The 17,392-nt window shown below is 50.3% G+C and overlaps 1 protein-coding gene across 10 annotated transcripts in view, besides 1 other annotated feature; it reads left to right on the top strand.

Annotated features, from left to right (window-relative positions):
• COL22A1 (collagen type XXII alpha 1 chain) overlaps positions 1-17,392 on the top strand; it is a 325,807-nt gene that overhangs the window by 53,920 nt on the left and 254,495 nt on the right. For all 10 annotated transcript variants that reach the window (XR_001745487.2, XM_017013150.3, XM_011516886.4 and 7 more), the window contains one exon: positions 15,964-16,038. Coding sequence is in view for 9 of the 10 variants with exons in the window: in XM_017013150.3 (XP_016868639.1) it covers positions 15,964-16,038 (75 nt within the window). In the remaining variant the exon portion in view is untranslated. The remainder of the gene's footprint in view (positions 1-15,963; positions 16,039-17,392) is intronic.
• Positions 11,023-11,524: an enhancer, noted in NCBI's record as "H3K4me1 hESC enhancer chr8:139860841-139861342 (GRCh37/hg19 assembly coordinates)". NCBI's record gives its function as "activates a minimal SCP1, AML or CMV promoter by ChIP-STARR-seq in primed H9 embryonic stem cells {active_cell/tissue: H9 hESC(primed)}" and the evidence as "EXISTENCE:reporter gene assay evidence [ECO:0000049][PMID:30033119]".

Raw genomic sequence — 17,392 nt, 5'->3', positions numbered from 1 at the left:
TGGAGAAGAGAGGGGAAGGGAAAGGGGTTTTAAGGTCAGAGGTGGGGTGGGTGAAGGGGTTGGCTGGTTAGTTAGGAAATGTGAGCAGATAACTGATCAGACAGCCCAGCACATAGTAATGGTCTGATGAGGAAATGGAGGATGGAAAGACTGAGCAGCTTGTTCTCAGCTGTCCAGGAGGAAATGGAAGGGATGCTGCTTGGAGGAGCTGAAGGTGAAAGCCTACAGCCACCGTTGCTTTACTCTCAAGGTGCGGGGATGGGCATGGCAGGTGTAGCAGAGCCCAGGATGCAGCGGCGGCTCACAGCCATGCAGGGATGCAAAGGTGGGAGGCCACACCGATGCCCATCCCTTAGCATGCCCCTTTGCCTGCAGATCCTCAGAGGTGACCTCAGTCTACAATGGGAGGTGCAGCACCTCAGTGGGTGCCCTGGAAGGAGGAGAGTAAGTGTGTGGGGGGGTGGCGCCACCCCTAGATTGTGTGCTACACCCCCTCACTTGCCCTCTCTAGGTCTCAGCCCTGTGCCCAGTGACAGCTCTGTTTTGTGGCTGGTTTTGTCCTTGGGAAGGCCGCACCAGATGCCAGATGTTCCTCACAGACATCTGGCTGTCATTCCCCACAGCCTCACCAAAGCTGCCTCAGGGATGCACCAGTGCCCATTCCAGGAGCCCACCTCCACCAGCCTTCCGGGGAGGGCCATGGGCAGCCATATCCCGTTCTGTCCGCTGACCTGAGGCCCAGTGAAGGGGTCCTGGCCTTGCCATCTGCCCCGACATGGTGTTCAGGGGGGCCTGACAAGGTGGAGGGCTGAGCCCAGCTCCTTGCCCTTTCCTGGGGGCTCCATGCTCCTGTTCCTGTGGCCTGCCTTTGTCACCGGCACTGATTTTGGGGTCACGACTGTGTGAGTTTGGACACAGACCACATGCCCAGGCTGTGTGCTAATGGGAGAACGTGGCTGGCAGTGGCACAAATAAATCACACCTTGTCTTGTTTGCATGTCTTCTCTGAGAACCACAGACTAAAAGAGGCAGGATATGTGGATGAGGAGGCATTCTGGGCTCATTCAGCTGGTCCTTTGCTTTCTGGGGACCGAGAAGGGAGATGGTTTATCCGCAGACATGGAGTGACTTAGGGTCAACGCTGGGACGAGGCCTGGCCTCCTGGGGCTTCGTCATACCATGTTTCTGACCTTCTGTCCTCCAACCTCTCCTAGGGAAGGCCTATCTCCTCTCCAGGGGCTGCATGAAATATCTCTTCAGCCCGCCTCTGGATTCATGTGATACACTTGCGATGTGCCACTCCTTTGATTTTATGCAGCTCCTTCTACTCACAATCCATGTAGGGAAGCAGAGAGGTGTTTTGCTTTGTTTTTGTTTGGTTTTTCCTGCCTGCCTGCCTGCTCAGCAACCCTCTCACCCGGGGTCGAGCACTGAGCGATAAAGACCCTGGGGATCTTCAGCTCCTCCTCTCTGAGCCTGTAGAAGCTCAGGGTTTGGAGGGTAATGGACTGACTAGGTTTGGGGAAATGTTTTGCTTGGCACCCTCAGGTTCCATGGTCAGAATCTCCAGGGGAAAGCTGGATGTGGTGGGCATGTGCCTGTAGTTCCAGCTACTCAGGAAGCTGGGGTGGGGGGATCACTTGAGCCCAGGAGTTGGAGGCTGCAGTGAGCTGTGATTGCACCACTGCACTCCAGCCTGGGTGATAAAGCAAGACCCAGCCTCTAAACAAAACAAATCAAAACAAAACAAAACAAAACAAAGAAAAAGAAAAAAAGAAAAAAAATTCCAGTAGGACCGTGCTCTGTGTGACTTGGAAGTCCTCCATATTGAACTTGGTGCTCTGTGCACTTTCTCTCGCCCACTTCCCATTAGAACCCTGAAGAGCAGATACTGAGAGTTTCCTTTGGTTCCAGAATTGAGCAGAGTGAGCCTTGGAGGGTGTGAAAAGGCTGGAGGTGCCACACACGTAAAGCACAAGGCTTTTTCTCTGTTAAGGAACAAACAGAACAGAGGCAGCAAGGACGAAGCCTAAAGAGATGTTAGTTCACACTGAACTGATGACGTCACCACCCAGGGCCATGACCTTGGGTCAAAGGTTTGATCAAAGACAGAGGGCAAAGCCATGTGCTGTCATTCCAGGGCCAGTTTTCCTGTAAAAGCCAATTATAACCGGAGGAGCAGTTCACAAAGCTATACCCTTCAGCAGGCGACCTCTATGGGTTTGGGTTTATGGGAAGGAGGCACTGGGCCAAGTGCCCGGGGAGGAGGCCCAGTCCTGGCGCGGTCTGGTGGGAGTTGCACCTTAAGGCAGCTCCTCTTTATTGACATCTGATTCCTTATCTGTAAAACAAGGGGGTTGGACCACAGGGTCACTCAGACCTTCTCCTGATGCTGAAGCTGAGTCCGTGTTATCAGAACATTGATTCCAGAGGGAACCGCTGTTCCCAGTTGACCCATTGCAGCTCAGCTCAGCTTTTGCCCTTTTCTTGGTTGTTCCTCTCCAGCCCCTCCTAAGATTTTCGGGATGGGGTGGCAGATTCGAGGAGCAGGAGGGGCCTGGACATGGTGGGCAGAGTCAGGAGCAGCTCCATGCCCCAGGGTCAGCCGATTCCCTCCGAGCCTCAGGTGCCTTGCTGTGAAATAGGGAGACCATAGGTGCCTGGGCATGGATCGGCCTCGGGGGCCAGGTCAGCCGTGAATGTCCAGGCGAAGCTGTGTTTGGCCAGGGCATGGAAGGGTGTGGTCATGTGAGGGGCCACACTGCAGTCCTGCTTGGCACTGACCCATCCTCATGTCCATCTTCTGAAGCTTCTCCCCAGATGTAGGGCCTGTGGGGGCAGAGCTGTGGTGAGGGTGGGCTCTGAGTGTGAGCAGTGGTAGTGGACCTGGGCCCAATGTCTCCGGGGCAGGAGGTACGCAGGACAGGAGTGGGGAGGTGGCAAGCTGGAGGTGGGCATGGGGTCAGCAGATAGAGGTAGGGGCAGGCGTGGGCAGAGGCAGGAGTGCAGGCGGATCCAGCCTGGAGGAGAGGGGAGGAAATGGGGATGCGGACAGCAAGGCCAGGAGGGGACAGGCAGGGAGAATCAGAGGGGCAAAGGCGGCCTTTCCCCAAAGAAAGAGGGGCAGGCACAGGGTGGGGGAGAGTGGGATGGGGACATGCAGGAAAGGTGGACACCCATTTGTCCCAGGCACACCAAAAGGGCAGGGGAGCAGCCAGAGAGGTCACTGGGAGCCCAGGGCAGGCCTATCCATGCCTGCCAGGCTGGGGCCCTCTTCCTTGTCAGGAATGTGTCACTGGCAGTATGCCCTAGAAGGCGCTGGCAGGAAGGGACCCACTGGGCCATCCTGGGAGTGTGTCCCACAGGCCGCCCACACAAAAGCTCCTCTCTCTGTCTCTCTCACTGCCTCTGTCTCTCTCTCTATCCCTCTCTCTTGCTGTCTCTCCTGTCTCTCTCTCTTGCTGTGTCTCTGTCTCTGTTTCTTTCTCTTGCTTTCTCTGCTCCTCTCTCTCTCTCTCTCTCTCTCTCTCACTGCCTCTGTCTCTCTCTCTGTCCCTCTCTCTTGCTGTCTCTCTGTCTCTGTCTCTCTTTCTCTTGCTTTCTCTGCTTCTCTCTCTCTCTGTCTCTCTCGCTCTCTCTGTCTCCCTCTTTCTCTTTCTCTTGCTGTCACTGCTTCTCCCTCTCTGTCTCTCTTTCTCTCTCTTTCTCTTGCTGTCACTGCTTCTCTCTCTCTCTCTGTTCCTCCAAGGCCAGCACCCCCACTGCAGAAACGCCCAAATGCATTCACACACAAATGCACACAGGGGCACATGTACCTAATGGTTTCATACAGTGAACAGTGCAGCCCTGCACACACATGCAGAGACATGCAGTCTGTTGGGAGTGCTCACACAGGTGCAGCAATGCGGCCACGCCTTGACTGCTCTAGGGGAGCCTCGGGGTGAGAGGCACAGCTGGCGGGTGCAGAATTGCCATGCCCTCCTCATTTCTTTGCCATTTGTAGTAATTTCTGGAGCTGCTAATGAGCAGGCCCCCCTCCGAAGCTCTAGGCACGGCCCCTTTTTCTGCAAGTCCCCCACCCCAGCCCCACTGTCCAGCTCTGAGCTCCTTCCATCCTGCCCCTGCTTTGTTTAAAGTCTCCCTCTAAGAAGAATCAAAGTCAGCCTGAGCTGTGCATGGCTCCAAAGGCCTCCTCTTCCACAGCAGGGAAGGCCAGGGCAGATTGAAGGACCCACTGTCCTACACCGTTGACAGTGGGTGGCTTGGGAACAGATCAGAAGCTACGTCGGTGGGGACAGGTGAAGTTGCTGAAGCAGCTCTGCCTGGGTGTGGGGTGGAGGCTCCTCCAGAAAAGGAATTGGTGTTGCTCATGGAGCCCTAATCTAATGAGTAAAGCTGGGCTGATTCATAAAATCCTTTCCGGGCACAATCGTTGCTCAGAGAGCTCAAGGGCATGGCCTCCTCAGAAGGTGGGAAGCTCCTTGTTCCTGGGGGGATTCAAAAAGAGCTACTGCACAGGGGTTGTGAGTAGAAGGAAGGATTGCTTTGGACAGGGAGTTTCCCGGCTGGCTTTGAAAGCTGTGGTGCTCCTGCTCCGATGCACAAGAGGCCCCACTGCACTCAAACGGGGAGGAGATGTTCAAATGAGGAGCCGAGCCTGCTCTCCCCCGGCCTAGCAGGCAGCAGCAAGGAGCATGCAGGGCCCCTGGAGCCACACTGCTGCCACTTGGGATCAAATGCTGGCTCTGTCACCTACCCGTCCTGTGACTTTGGATGAGGGGCTTTACCTCTCTGTGCCTTATTTCCCTCATTTATTCCAAACAAACAATAGCCATGAGAATTGCCACTCTATGGGGTTGTTAGAAGGATTCAGTTAATTGATATGTATGCAAAGTGAATTGAAAGATGGTTGTCACATAATAAGCACCATGTGGGCATCAGCTTCTGTGTGCCAGGCACTGTACTGGACATTTTTTATTTTCTTTTATCCCATCCTTATCAAAATTCTGAGAGGTAGTTCATTATTTTATAATTGAGGAAGCTGAGACTCAGAAGGATGCTGGAGGCCATGCAAGGTCACACAGCAAGTGGATAGGAGAGCCAGTCTCTTGACTGCTGGCTATCTGAGTAGACCCATCCTCCCCTCCCACCATCACCATCACCTCCTCCATCATCACCATCATCACCACTGCCATCACCATCAGCATCACCATCACCACCACCATCACCACCATTGCTACCACTGTCGCCATCAGCACCACCTCATCCACATCACCATCATCACCATCATCGTCACCATCATCACCATCATCATCACCATCACCACCATCACAATCACCACCACCTCTATCAAGCTGTCTCTATGAGAAGACAAAGACATTAGAATCTGATGGGGTCTCGGAGGCCAAGGCTGGGGCAGAAGGCCTCTTATTGTAACGGGAATAGAAATAGGCAAGTGTGAGAGCCAAAGGGATTGTTGTTCCTCTCGGGGCTCTAAAGGTGACATTTCTCATTGGTGATCATCAGTCACAGCAGCGAGCAGAGGCCCATACAGTGTGCTGAGCAGGCCAAAGGGGAGGGCAGTGGGAAGGGCTCCATCACCTTAGTCAGACCTGGCCTTGAGCCCTGCCTCTGCTACCTCCCAGGAGAGTAACCAGGAGCAGGTCACTCACCCTCTTTGAGCCTCAGTGTGTTTGTGTCACTGGGAATGTCAAAATCCTTCAGGAAGGCTGTTGAGAGAATTAAATGGAATCCACTGAAATTCTGGGCTTCAGGAGGGCAGAGGCTCTTGTCCTCTTGTCCTTTCTGTTCCCTGTGGCCTACTTAGGATCCAGGTGTAGTGGTCATGTCCCAGCAGATGGTGGACACCCAGGATGTGTTCATGCCCTCACTCCTCTGCTCTTTAGTGAGGCCATCAGCCTAATGATCATAACCTCCCAACAGAACACAAGCATCCCACAGTCACGATGGCATATTCCCTCTGTCCTGGCACACACTGTCCTGTGGCCAGACACCCTTGCACCATCATCCCTGTCCCTCATCTGCCATGTGACAGTCACAGCCACCATCTCTACCAAGCTACCACATCCTGCTCATTTAAGGGGTTCTAAAGGGTCTCCACACCCTTGCTCAACAGATGGATCATTCTACCCCACACTGGTCTTGTAGTTTACCCTTTCCCTTGACCATCTCTGCAGGGCACACTGTTGTGCAAAGATGGGAGACTGGGTGTCAGCCAAACTTGGGCTGGAATTCTGGGTATTAATGAGTTCTGTTACTTTGGAGCAGTCTCTTACTCTTGTAAGTGTTCGTCTTCCCTTCTGAGAAAATCAGAAGGGCTGCTGGAGGTCATGGTGTGTGAATGTGCTTGCCAAATCTAGGGATTCGGTAACTGACATGTCTTTCCTTTTTCTTTTCTTTCTTACACTAGCACCGCCTTAATCCCAAATGTTTGGAGGTATTTTTCAACACTGTTGAGCTCCTTGGAATAATGAGCTTGTTGGTTTTGAGGTGAACCAGGTAACAATCAGTCCACATGCTCTCTCATGGCACCCCAACTTTGAAGTAGAGTAATTAGCATCTTGCTAATTTTCTTGGTGAAAGTAATTTGTAAATCATTAAAGAGGGAGTCTCTTCTTAAAAGTTTTTAAAAAGAGAGAGACCTGTTGTGGAGGCATTGGGAGTATGTGTGTTTTCCTGAAACTTCCCAAGACAGCTCCCTCATGAGTCATTATTAGAGGATAGTATTAGAGGTTCAGACCATCTCTGAAACAAGGAGTTAGGGGAAGAAGAGTATGGGTTTGACATAGTTGCTGTCCCTGTTGTCTCCATTTGCTGCTCAGCCATTCTCCCTGAACCTGCTCCAATGGGGCCCTCGCCCCATCATTCAGGGCACCAATGACCTGTAGGATGCCAAACCTCACTATAAATGCTGCCCCTTCTTTTTTGAGACCAGGTCTTTCTCTGTCACCCAGGCTGGAGTGCAGTGGTGTGATCTCTGCTCACTGTAGCCTCTCCCTTCTGGGTTCAAGTGATTCTCTGCCTCAGGCTCCCGGGTAGTTGGGACTACAGGCACACATCACCACGTGCTGCTAATTTTTGTATGTGCATGTATATATATATATATACTTTTTTTTTTTGTAGTAGATATGGGGTTTCACCATGTTGGCCAGGCTGATCTCAAACTCCTGGCCTCAAGTGATCCACCCACCTTGGCTTCCCAAAATGCTGGGATTATAGGACTGAGCCACTGGGCATAGCCTGTTTCCCTTCTCATTTGACATTTAAGAATTGGTGCCTTGGACTGCTCCCTGCTGCGTGAAACACTCCCTCCACATACACTGCGGACCTCCCTCTCCCTGGTTCTCCTCCCACCTCACTGGCCACCCCTTCTCAGTCTCCTTTGCCGGCCACTCCTCATCCCCCGCATTTCAAGATTGGAGGCTGTGAGGGCCTAATTTGCAGACATCTCTCCTCTCTCTCATTCATCACTGAATGATCTCACTCACTCCCGATGCTTTAAACACTATCCCTGCTCCAGCAACTTCCAAATGGAAAGCCCCAACTGGGCCCCAAGCCTTGAAATCTGAAAGCTGAGCTTACAGATCCAGATGCTTGCTGAGCACCCATAGGACATCTCAGATGGAAAATGTCCACCATTGGACTCATGTTCTGTGGCTCCAACATTACAGCTGCACAGGGCAGAGCATTCACTTTCTAGACACTCCACATCTAATCTACCTTCAGATCCTGCCCAGTCTTTCAGGATAGATCCAGGGACTGGCTACCTCTCCTCTACCCCCACCACAAGGAACAAGTCACCATCATCCCTTCCCCCCGACCACTGTGGTGGCCTCCTGGCTGGCCTTTGCCTCCACCCTTTCCCTGTCACAGCCGGGCCCTCCCCCTGCTGCAGGGTGACACATCTTACCAGGGTCCATCAGCCCCAACCTGGGCCACTTCTACCTCATCTCACCATTGCTCTTCCCTTTGCTGAACTGTTCCAGCCATGTGTCCCCACTCTTCCTCACCTCCAGGTCCTTTCCCAGACCTCCCATGCATCACTCCCCCAATTCCTGCCTTCCTGTAGTTGCCTCCAATCCCCCCTTCCCCAAGTAGAGACATCCAACACCTCCAACCACCTGCTATGCTGTCCTCTCTTCCATCCCTGCCTTAGAGCTTCCCTACTACTGCCCCCACCTGCTGTCATCACACACATTTTGGAGACCCCAGTGCCTTATTTGATCAATTTCCATCTTTCTCACTGGATGGCAGATCCCTGAGGACAGCGAGCTTGTCACTTTGCCATTATTTTATGCCCAGGATCACTTCAGTGCCAGGTGCATACTGGGTGTTCATTAAACATGGGATGAAGGAAGGTTTGGTCTCAGAAGGTCTGCTGGCTGTCACACAAAAAGGCTGCAAGGGCTCTGCTGCCCCTGAGCTCCCCTTGCGCCTCCATCTCCTCCCCATCCTCTCCTAGAGAAAGCTCCACACAGTCTCTGGTGACACCTACTGGTGCTTGGTTCTTGAGCCATTCCCTGGGAGGGAAAGGAGGTCTGAGGAACCCTTGGGCCATTTGAAGTCATGGGTGATGGCTGGCACCCAAAGTCCTTGTTGGACAGGTAGCACTCATACATAGTAACAACCATGAGCAGCGCCTGCTGCTACCTGGCAGAGTGAGCTCTCCATTGCTCTGAATTCCAAACTCGGCCTTGGGCCACGAGGCTCTCCATGGCATGCATGGCATTTTCCCATTCCTCTCCTGTCCCTCTCGTCCTGCCACTCTAGCTGTGGGGCTTGGACCCTCCTCACCCTCATGATAAGCGAAGCCTCTCCAGGCTTAGGCTTTTCCCTGCTCTTCCCATGGGTGGACTGGTCTCCTTCTTAGCTCTCAGCTCAGATGTCACTCACCTTAGAGCTCTTCCCAGACCAGCTTATCCAGCATCTGTCCAGTGTCCCCGCTCCCAAAGCCCCATCACGTTGCAGGCATATTTCCTCCATGGCACAGCCTGCACACCATGGCTGACTTGCCTCTCTCTGTTGGCTTCTGTGCTGTTCTGTGTTGCTCTCTGCCTCCTCCACTAGCACGGGAGCACCAAGAGGGCAGGAGCCACTCACCTGTGTGTTCATGTGTTTGCACTTGTTCCTTGCACTGAGACGTGTGCCAGGCACTTGGCAAATATGTGTTGGGTAAATGAAGGGATAAATAAATGAGCACTTACTAGATGCCAGGTTTCATGCTGAGAACTTCCCATCCACTGTCCATCCTATTTAACCTTTAGGACAACTGTGGATGGAAAGGGGAGGGACTTTCGCCTCTGTTTTTGAGTTTGGAAACAGACACACAGGGGGCAACTGACATGGAAGAGGTGAGGTCTGTCTGACCCCAGAGCTTCCTCCCATCAACCTTGGAGCTCGAGGTTCTTTCCCCTGGTCTTGTCCTTTTTTGGCTTCTCTGTACTCTGGTGCACAGCTCACACTTGGCTGGGAGAGGACAGATGGCCCTGGCAGGCCCTTACCTTGTTACTGTTTCTTGTGCCTCATCAGTCTCCAAACAAAGACAACTGCATCCCCGGCTCCCATCAGGAAGGGCCCAGCTGTGCCGGAGCCCCACCCCTCATTCTTCGTGCCGCATCTTTCTGAGTTAGGGACAAGGAAGGGAAGGAGGGAGGTGGCCCTGATCTCCTGGGCCAGTGTTCGCAGCTGTCAGCAGGTCCAGGGGGATTTTCCTTTCTGGCGATATTTTGTCTACTGCATATGTCACACAGACTTCCTGTGAAACACTTGCATAAACATTTTCACAAAACACCTGGCACTCTGACCATGCCCTCTCTCCTGCCTAAAGGATCTGGGAGATGTGGATTGAACAGCCAGAGGATCTGGGCCTTCTGGGGAGGCAGCTGGTGCTGATACACTCTGGCCTAGAGGAGAAATGCAAGCCAGGAATCTCCAGAAAGTTCTGGAACAGGTGGTGGAGGTGGAACTGGGCATAAGAACCCAATGTCTGAACCCTGAGTTGTCTTCATCTTCTCACAGGGTGCACACCATGGCCCTGAGATGTGGTTAATAACAATTTCCTCCCGCTTTCAATTACTAGGAAAGTTACTTGTTCACCTGTAAAATATGGATAATAGTATCTGCCCTGCAAACCATGAGGAGGATTAAAAGAGAGCCTGTGTGTAATGCTGACATTACACACAGCGATTGGCTGGTTATTATTCTATCACAACCAACGTGGCTTCCAGTGCAGAGATTGTGGATAGTGGTTAAGAGCTCAGATGCCTACATCTGACTCCCTGGGCTCAGTTCTGTGCCACTTGTCAGCTGTGTGATGTTGGGTAAATTACTTAACCTCTCTGAGCCTTGGCTTCCCGTTGCATAAGCCAATGAATCCTATAGGTACAGGGTGAGGAAGACCCTTCTACAAGTCAAGACTCTTAAAAGGCAAAATGGGCTGCTGTAGAAAGTAGCAAACTGACCATCTGCTGGTCCAGGCTTTGGAGACACACAGACCTGAATCCCTATTGGCTGGGTGACCTGAGGCAGTTGACCTGGCCCTTGGAGAGGCTGCATCATGCAGTGGCCAAGAACTGGGTGCTGAAGCCATCATGCTGACGTTGCCACCTGCAAGCTGTGTGGCCTTGGGCAGTTGACTAACTTCTTTATGCCTTTCTTTCTACAGGAAGAAGTTAGTCCCCCTTTCTTTCTTTCTCTAAATAATAGCACCTACCTCGTAAAGCCATGGTAAGGATTCAATTAAATGTGTTAATGTATTCAACATGCTTGGAACAGCGTCTGGTGCACAGCAAGCCACCTACATGTGTCTGCTGCTTATGGAGATAACTACATCCTTCCAGCAGAGCAGCCAAGAGGCTCAGAAACAATCCACATGGCATTCCCAGTGCAGGACCTAGCCACGCGGGCGCTCAGTCCCTGGGAGCCATGACAGTGTAATCCTTATGAACATGATCCTTGGGCCCTTGTGTCTGCCATGTGTCTGTCGCCTGTCTGAAATGGAGATGCGTGGAAAATTCCTTGGCTGGCCTCGGAGCAGCGGAGGAACTGGACCTTGTGTCTGCTGGGCTTCTGCTTCAGCTCTTCCCTCCTCCGCCTCTTCCACTTGGATGTCATACATCTTGTCTGTGGTTAGCTGCACTCAGCAGCGGCCGCTGCGAGGTGATGGATGAGCCGTGATTGCTTCCTGTCTGGTATCCGGCAGGGCTGCCCTGGCATCCTTCCCTTGTTTCTACTGCTCCTGCTGATCTAACATGGGGCCACCGTATCTCTTCCTAGATGCTAGATTTAGGGAGGCATTTATTCAAATACAGAGACATTTCTCCTGTCTGATGAGTTTCTCATCTTGGACTCAGTTTTTATATCTGTGTAATGGGAAGAAAATCTACCTTGTAGGATGGTTGTTGTGAGTTAAATCCAAAGCCAGATGATTGACACACACACTGGGTACTCAATAATTGCATGTACCCTCCGTTCCCAACTGGAAAAACTCTTGGCCGAGAGCCAGGGGATGACAAGGCTGTGTGTTCTGCAGACAGAACCATGGTTGCGTCAACATAGAGCACGAGGACATCAGACGCCATATTGTGCAAGCCCTTTTCCTCCCCTAATGGACAAACAGGTGCCCCCCTTTTGCCATTTGGTAAACTGAGGCCAAAAAAATGGACGTGTTTTTCCAGGAAGACCACAGTAAATTCGTGGTGTTTTCCCTTAGAGCAGCAGCTCTGATCAATCAATAGGCTTCCGGTGAGAAGGAACGCATGCTGTGTGAAGAGATACCTTTTTTCTCTTCAGAAGTCTAGAATGTTCCACTTACCTAGAGAGTGAAGGAAAATGATTGTCAGGGGGTAGACAATAAATGGACTTTAAGGAAGCAGTGTCTTTGTCATTAGATGTTTTCGTTTTTGTGTTCTCATGTTTTCAAAAAGGAAAATCAACCAGTGAACCAGCCAAGAACAAATTCAATCCACATTTTTAACTCCTATGAATTTATCCTTGCCCTTAATTTAGAACTACTTCTTATGCTGCTCCTGAAGGATTACCTGAGAATTCCATATTTATTGGGATAGAGAAGGTAACTCAGTCTGTATTTCCTTTACCAAGGAAGTAATGCACCACTTCTCACCACCCTCATTAATTGTCCTTAGACATCCAGAAAGAGAATCTGACCTTCCAGCTGGTTACACTGGCATATCAGTGAGGCCCATAGGAAGGAAATGCATGCAAATTTGGAATGCACTCAACTGCAAGTGAAGAAAACCCATATATGGTGGCTTAAACAAATAGAAGTTTTTTTTTTTTTTTTAATCTTATGCCTCCCACCTAGGATTGGAATTGCTTGTTTGATATTTCCTCCATTCTCCTAGACAGTCCCCCAAACATTATGTTTCATATGCAAAGGAAGAAGAAAGGAAAGTAAACTCACCACCCCATCCACTTATCTATCCCTTACATCAAGGAAACCAAAAGCTTTTTAAGCAATCCTTTCCTTTATCCACAGCAAGCTTTGGTTATTTGTTTCCTTGGACAGCCCTGAATCACACATCCATCCCTAGCTGCAAGTGAGACTGGAAAGGTGGGGAATAGAATAATCATAATTGACTTAGACCAAACAGCTACAGTGTTTCTCCATGGGCTGAAAACTCTGTCTTTCTGAACTAAGGTGGCATTATTTAGCAACAAAGAAGTGGGAAATGGATATGGGGCTGATAACAAATGATGCCTGCTACACCTCCAGGGCAGGAGCTCAAGGGCCCATGAAATACTCTCAGTGGCTCATCAAAATCATAACGAACCCCATGCCTGGGAGGCTCCCCATTCCACCAGTCAGTGTTTACTTCTCAGCTCAGTTGTCAGAAGTCATTTCTGCTCAACAGCTGAAGGCCTGTTATGGGTTTGGAGCTAGAAAGACAGTGGCCATACAGAGGTGAGCTGAGGTCCAACCAGGTCTGAAGACTCCCACTCCCTGGGGAGACAGACATGCCCATTAGTGACTTCAGTATGGTGCCCTCAGCTCTTGGACACTGGGACCTGACGAAGGGCTCCCTACCCAGGCTGGGATAAATGGAAACAAGCCCCTGGGGTTGTTCAAGGCTGAGCAGTCTCTAAGATCCAGGAGGAGGAGCCCTGGGAAGCATGGAGACAAAATGACTCCCAGTAGCACTGATCCTTTCTTTCACTCACGTGTTTGGAGTCTGTTCCTGTTAGTCAGCCCTGCAATGCCCTGAAGGCAGGGAATAGGATGTCTCTCTCATCCACTTCTCTGACCCTAGAGGTAGCTCAATGCTTGGAACATATCTGGAGCTCAGTAAAGAATTGAGTTTGAATAGATGAGTGAATACAGAAATAAACAGATCATTCTCCAAGATGTGGGGATATCTTGGCCAAAAAGAAATGCAGAATGGCTTCCAATTATAGGCTAAGAGGAGCCATGGATGCTAACCCTACCTCCTTGCCAAGCAGGTGGACCCTGAGGACCCCACCATCCCCAGGAAGGCTGGCTGGAGGGCTATTTTGGAAGCTATTTGTTCTGACTTAACCAACTCAACTATAAACTGCCCCTCGAGCCTGGTGAATGTGTGAGGCTTAGTGATGGCCCCAGAGGGAATTTGCAGGTTGTTTTGAGAAAGATTTCTTAAAGCAATTTGAGCAAGTTCTATCTTTGAGTAGAATCTCCATCATTTCTGTGTGCGTGGTCCTCCCCTTGGGAAATTTGCAGAGATGTGACTCAATGGAGCAGCCTACTCTGAGGTCCAGCCGCCAGCCTCCAGAGATTTGCTCATCATCAAAGATAGATAGAACCTTCTGAGTCAACTCGTCTTAAATTTTAAACTCATTAAAATGACACGCAATTCCCAGCCTGTCTCTCTGGCAGGCTGCCAAACTTAAAGCAATTGATCGTCACCCCACAGCTGCTGCTGTCCTGGGTAGAGCTGTCTAAATATTGTGCTGTGCCTGTACCCATTCCTGTATGTAGTGCTAGACAGACAGCTTGGTACTGTTTCCAAAATAACCCCTTCCATGATGCTTGTCAGACCTGGTGGTGCCTTTGAGGATAAACATTAAAAATACCTCCTTCCAAATCAGGAAAGATCTCATTTGTTCCCTGCACTGAGACACTTATACCCTCAAATATGAGAAGAGGCCATTGTATATGGAACTAATGGGGTGGTGGAGCTGCCTAATAATGTGTGATTATAATAATAATGTGTGATAACCAAATTGCTTCATGGGCAGGGCTGGGTCTTCAGGGAGATAAGTGAGGTGCTTTGGGTGCTAAATTTATGAGAATACAGAACCTCCTTACAGCCTTTCAGTGCTGTTGTGGGCATAATCTTGCCCAATCCTCAAAGCAGCCCTGTGACAAATGTGTGCATATTAATATCTCCCATGCCACAGGTGCCCACGCTAAGACACACAGATTAAGAGACTTCTCTAAGCCACAGAGGGTAGGCGGGAGTGTAGTCAGCATGGACTCAGCACATTAAAATTCAAAGTTAATGCTCTTTCTGAAATTGTTAGAGGGACTGAAAGAGTTCATTTTTCTTCCAACTTTTTATTATTTATTTATTTATTTATTTATTTATTTTTGAGGTGGAGTCTCATTCTGTCACCCAGGCTGTCATGCAGTGGCGTGATCTCAGCTCACTGCAGCCTCCGCCTCCGCCTCCCAGGTTCAAGCGATTCTCCTGCCTCAGCCTCCTGAGTAGCTGGGGTTACCAGTGTGCACCACCATGCCCGACTCATTTTTGTATTATTAGTAGAGCCGGGGTTTCACCATGTTGGCCAGGCTGGTCTCGAACTCCTGACCTCAGGTGATCCCCCCCCGTCTTGGCCTCCCAAAGTACAGGCATGAGCCACCACACCTGCCCTTCTTCCAACTTTTTAGAAGTGAGGATCCATGAAGACTTTAACATATTTATGTAATATTGTATAATAATTTTTTATTGTATGACTTACTCAATTGCTTTTGTATAACTGAGTTTTACTTGTTTGGAATTTGCCTGTTTATGTAATTGTACCTGAAGCTCCATCAGATGACTTATGGAACATCTTTCTGGTCCGTCCCTGCACACAATTTCCATTTCATTGACATCCTACTGACTTGGAGGTTTCATGTATATGTGCATGCTTTCCTTTTTTTTTTTTTTTTTTTGAGATGGAGTCTTGCCCTGTCACCCTGGCTGGAGTGCAGCCACGTGATCTCAGCTCACTGCAAGCTCCGCCTCCCGGATTCACACCATTCTCCTGCCTCAGCCTCCCGAGTAGCTGGGACTACAGGCGCCTGCCACCACGCCCGGCTAATTTTTTGTATCTTTAGTAGAGACGGGGTTTCACCGTGTTAGCCAGGATGATCTCGATCTCCTGACCTCGTGATCCGCCCGCCTCGGCCTCCCAAAGTGCTGGGATTACAGGCGTGAGCCACCGCGCCCGGACATGTGCATGCTTTCCTAAATGAGGTTCCCTCTGCCTGTATCACCTTTTGGTCTTTTGTCTATCAGGCTAAATCTTACAGTTCTTTCAAAAAGAATCTTTCCAGGAAAGCTTCTCTGTCCTCCTGCGTTAGATTAGTTATTGTATCTGTGTCCTGAACCCCCCAGCAGCAGGCACATGTATCTACAACTTATTCCGCTATGTTGTTAATATTGATGTCCGTGTCTGGCTCCCTCGGACAAGGCTGTGAATTCCTCATAGACAGGAAGAAAGCCTTGTTCATATTTCACCCCAGTACAGAACACAGTATTTGCAGAGTTGATGCTTAACAAATACACAGGAAAATGAAAACATGAGTGAGTGCGGAGATGCCAGCTGCCTCTGCATCTTCTCCAGGCATTGAACACCTCACATGCTGCAAGGCAGGGTGGGGTCTTGTGTGCTGTCATATTTCACAGGGTGACGATGGGTCACATTTTCTCATCAGTCTCTGTTTCCTCTTGCTTTCCTCAGATGTGCTCTGTCCTAGCGTTCGTGTAGAAGGAGATCGCTTTAAGCACACCAATGGAGGAACCAAGGAAATCACAGGTAAGGGAAAAACAATAACCACGTGTGCTTGCTTTGGTGTATGATTTGCTGAGCCTGAGCATGACCCTAGTCAATTCAGGGGTGGCCTCACTGACCCTGTTCTTGTTCCCATATTTCACCAGAGTCCTGATAAAGTGGTTTGAATCGTGCAGGTGGCAGCTCTCATCAAAGAACCATCCAACAGGAAAGAACATACATTCACATTTTCCATTTGGCAGGCTGTGGATATTCTATAGGAGTCACTCAATAATGCATGAGAATGAATGAGTTTGTAAAGAAGCTGGTGAATGAGTAAGCAAATGATTGGCAAAGTGAGCAAACGACTGAATAAATAAATGTGTTTTGGAGTGAAAGCGAGAGTGAATCAGAGTTATAAATATATGAGTGAATCAATGGGTGAGAGAACAAAGAGACACGTGACTGCAGACCCAGCAGCAGAAAGAAATACCGCAGAGTCTCACCAAAGGCTGTCAGGCATATGACAGAATAGAAGGCTGCGAGGGTGCGGGGTATGGCCGAGGTGGTTCCCCACCATCCCAATTACCCGAACATGGATCCAGTCCTCCCTGTGGCCGGGCACCCTGCTCAGCACTTTAAATACATATGGCAAAGAAGTTTTCTTCTCTCCCAACTCCCAACCAGGAAGCCACTGCAGAACAGCAGCCCTGCTCTTCTTGCCAATGCCCCTGGGTTTGGTGTCTCTCCTCTCCCTCCTGCATCATCTTGGGTCCAATTCTAAGCACTTATGTGTCCCCATCCTAGCAGGGAGCCATGTGAGGTCAGGACGAAGTGTTTGGAAGGTACTGCTGGGACCCTGCTTGCATCCCAGGGACCTTGCCATGTCACCGTGCTCTGCTGTCTTAAAGATGCCAGCATCTGCATCTTGTGCCTGGGGGATTTTTCTGGAATGGTGGAAGGCTGCTCTGCCTATGTGCACAGTGGGAGAAAGGTGCCAGGGAGTGAGCACCCCCCAGGAGCAGCTCCTAACCAGTGACCCTTGGTATAGAAGCACCCGGCTCTACTGCTCCTTAGGTGGGATTATTCTGAAGTCCACATTTGACCCCGTTTCCCAGAGTTTCCTAGGGGCAGTCATCCACCAGGGTAACTGGCCTCATGCCATACTCTATCAGCTGCTTTCTTTCCCTGAATCCTGCCTCTACTCCCTGCTCAAGCACCTCTCCAATAAACTACTGGCACTTTCAGAGGAAACCAAACAAAGTGATATTCTCGAGGTGGGGCACCTGCTGCGTAGCTGGTGCCCAGTGGGGTGCTATCACTGTCAGGGTTTATTTGTCTAATACATGAGATAAAGGTGACTTTCATCTTCTTCACTTTGTTAACCTAATTTCCTTGA

The sequence above is a fragment of the Homo sapiens genome, chromosome 8, assembly GCF_000001405.40.
Source record: "Homo sapiens chromosome 8, GRCh38.p14 Primary Assembly".
NCBI lineage: Eukaryota > Metazoa > Chordata > Mammalia > Primates > Hominidae > Homo > Homo sapiens.
The sequence above is the reverse complement of the archived record's forward strand: the minus strand, read 5'-3'. Positions and strand labels throughout refer to the sequence as shown.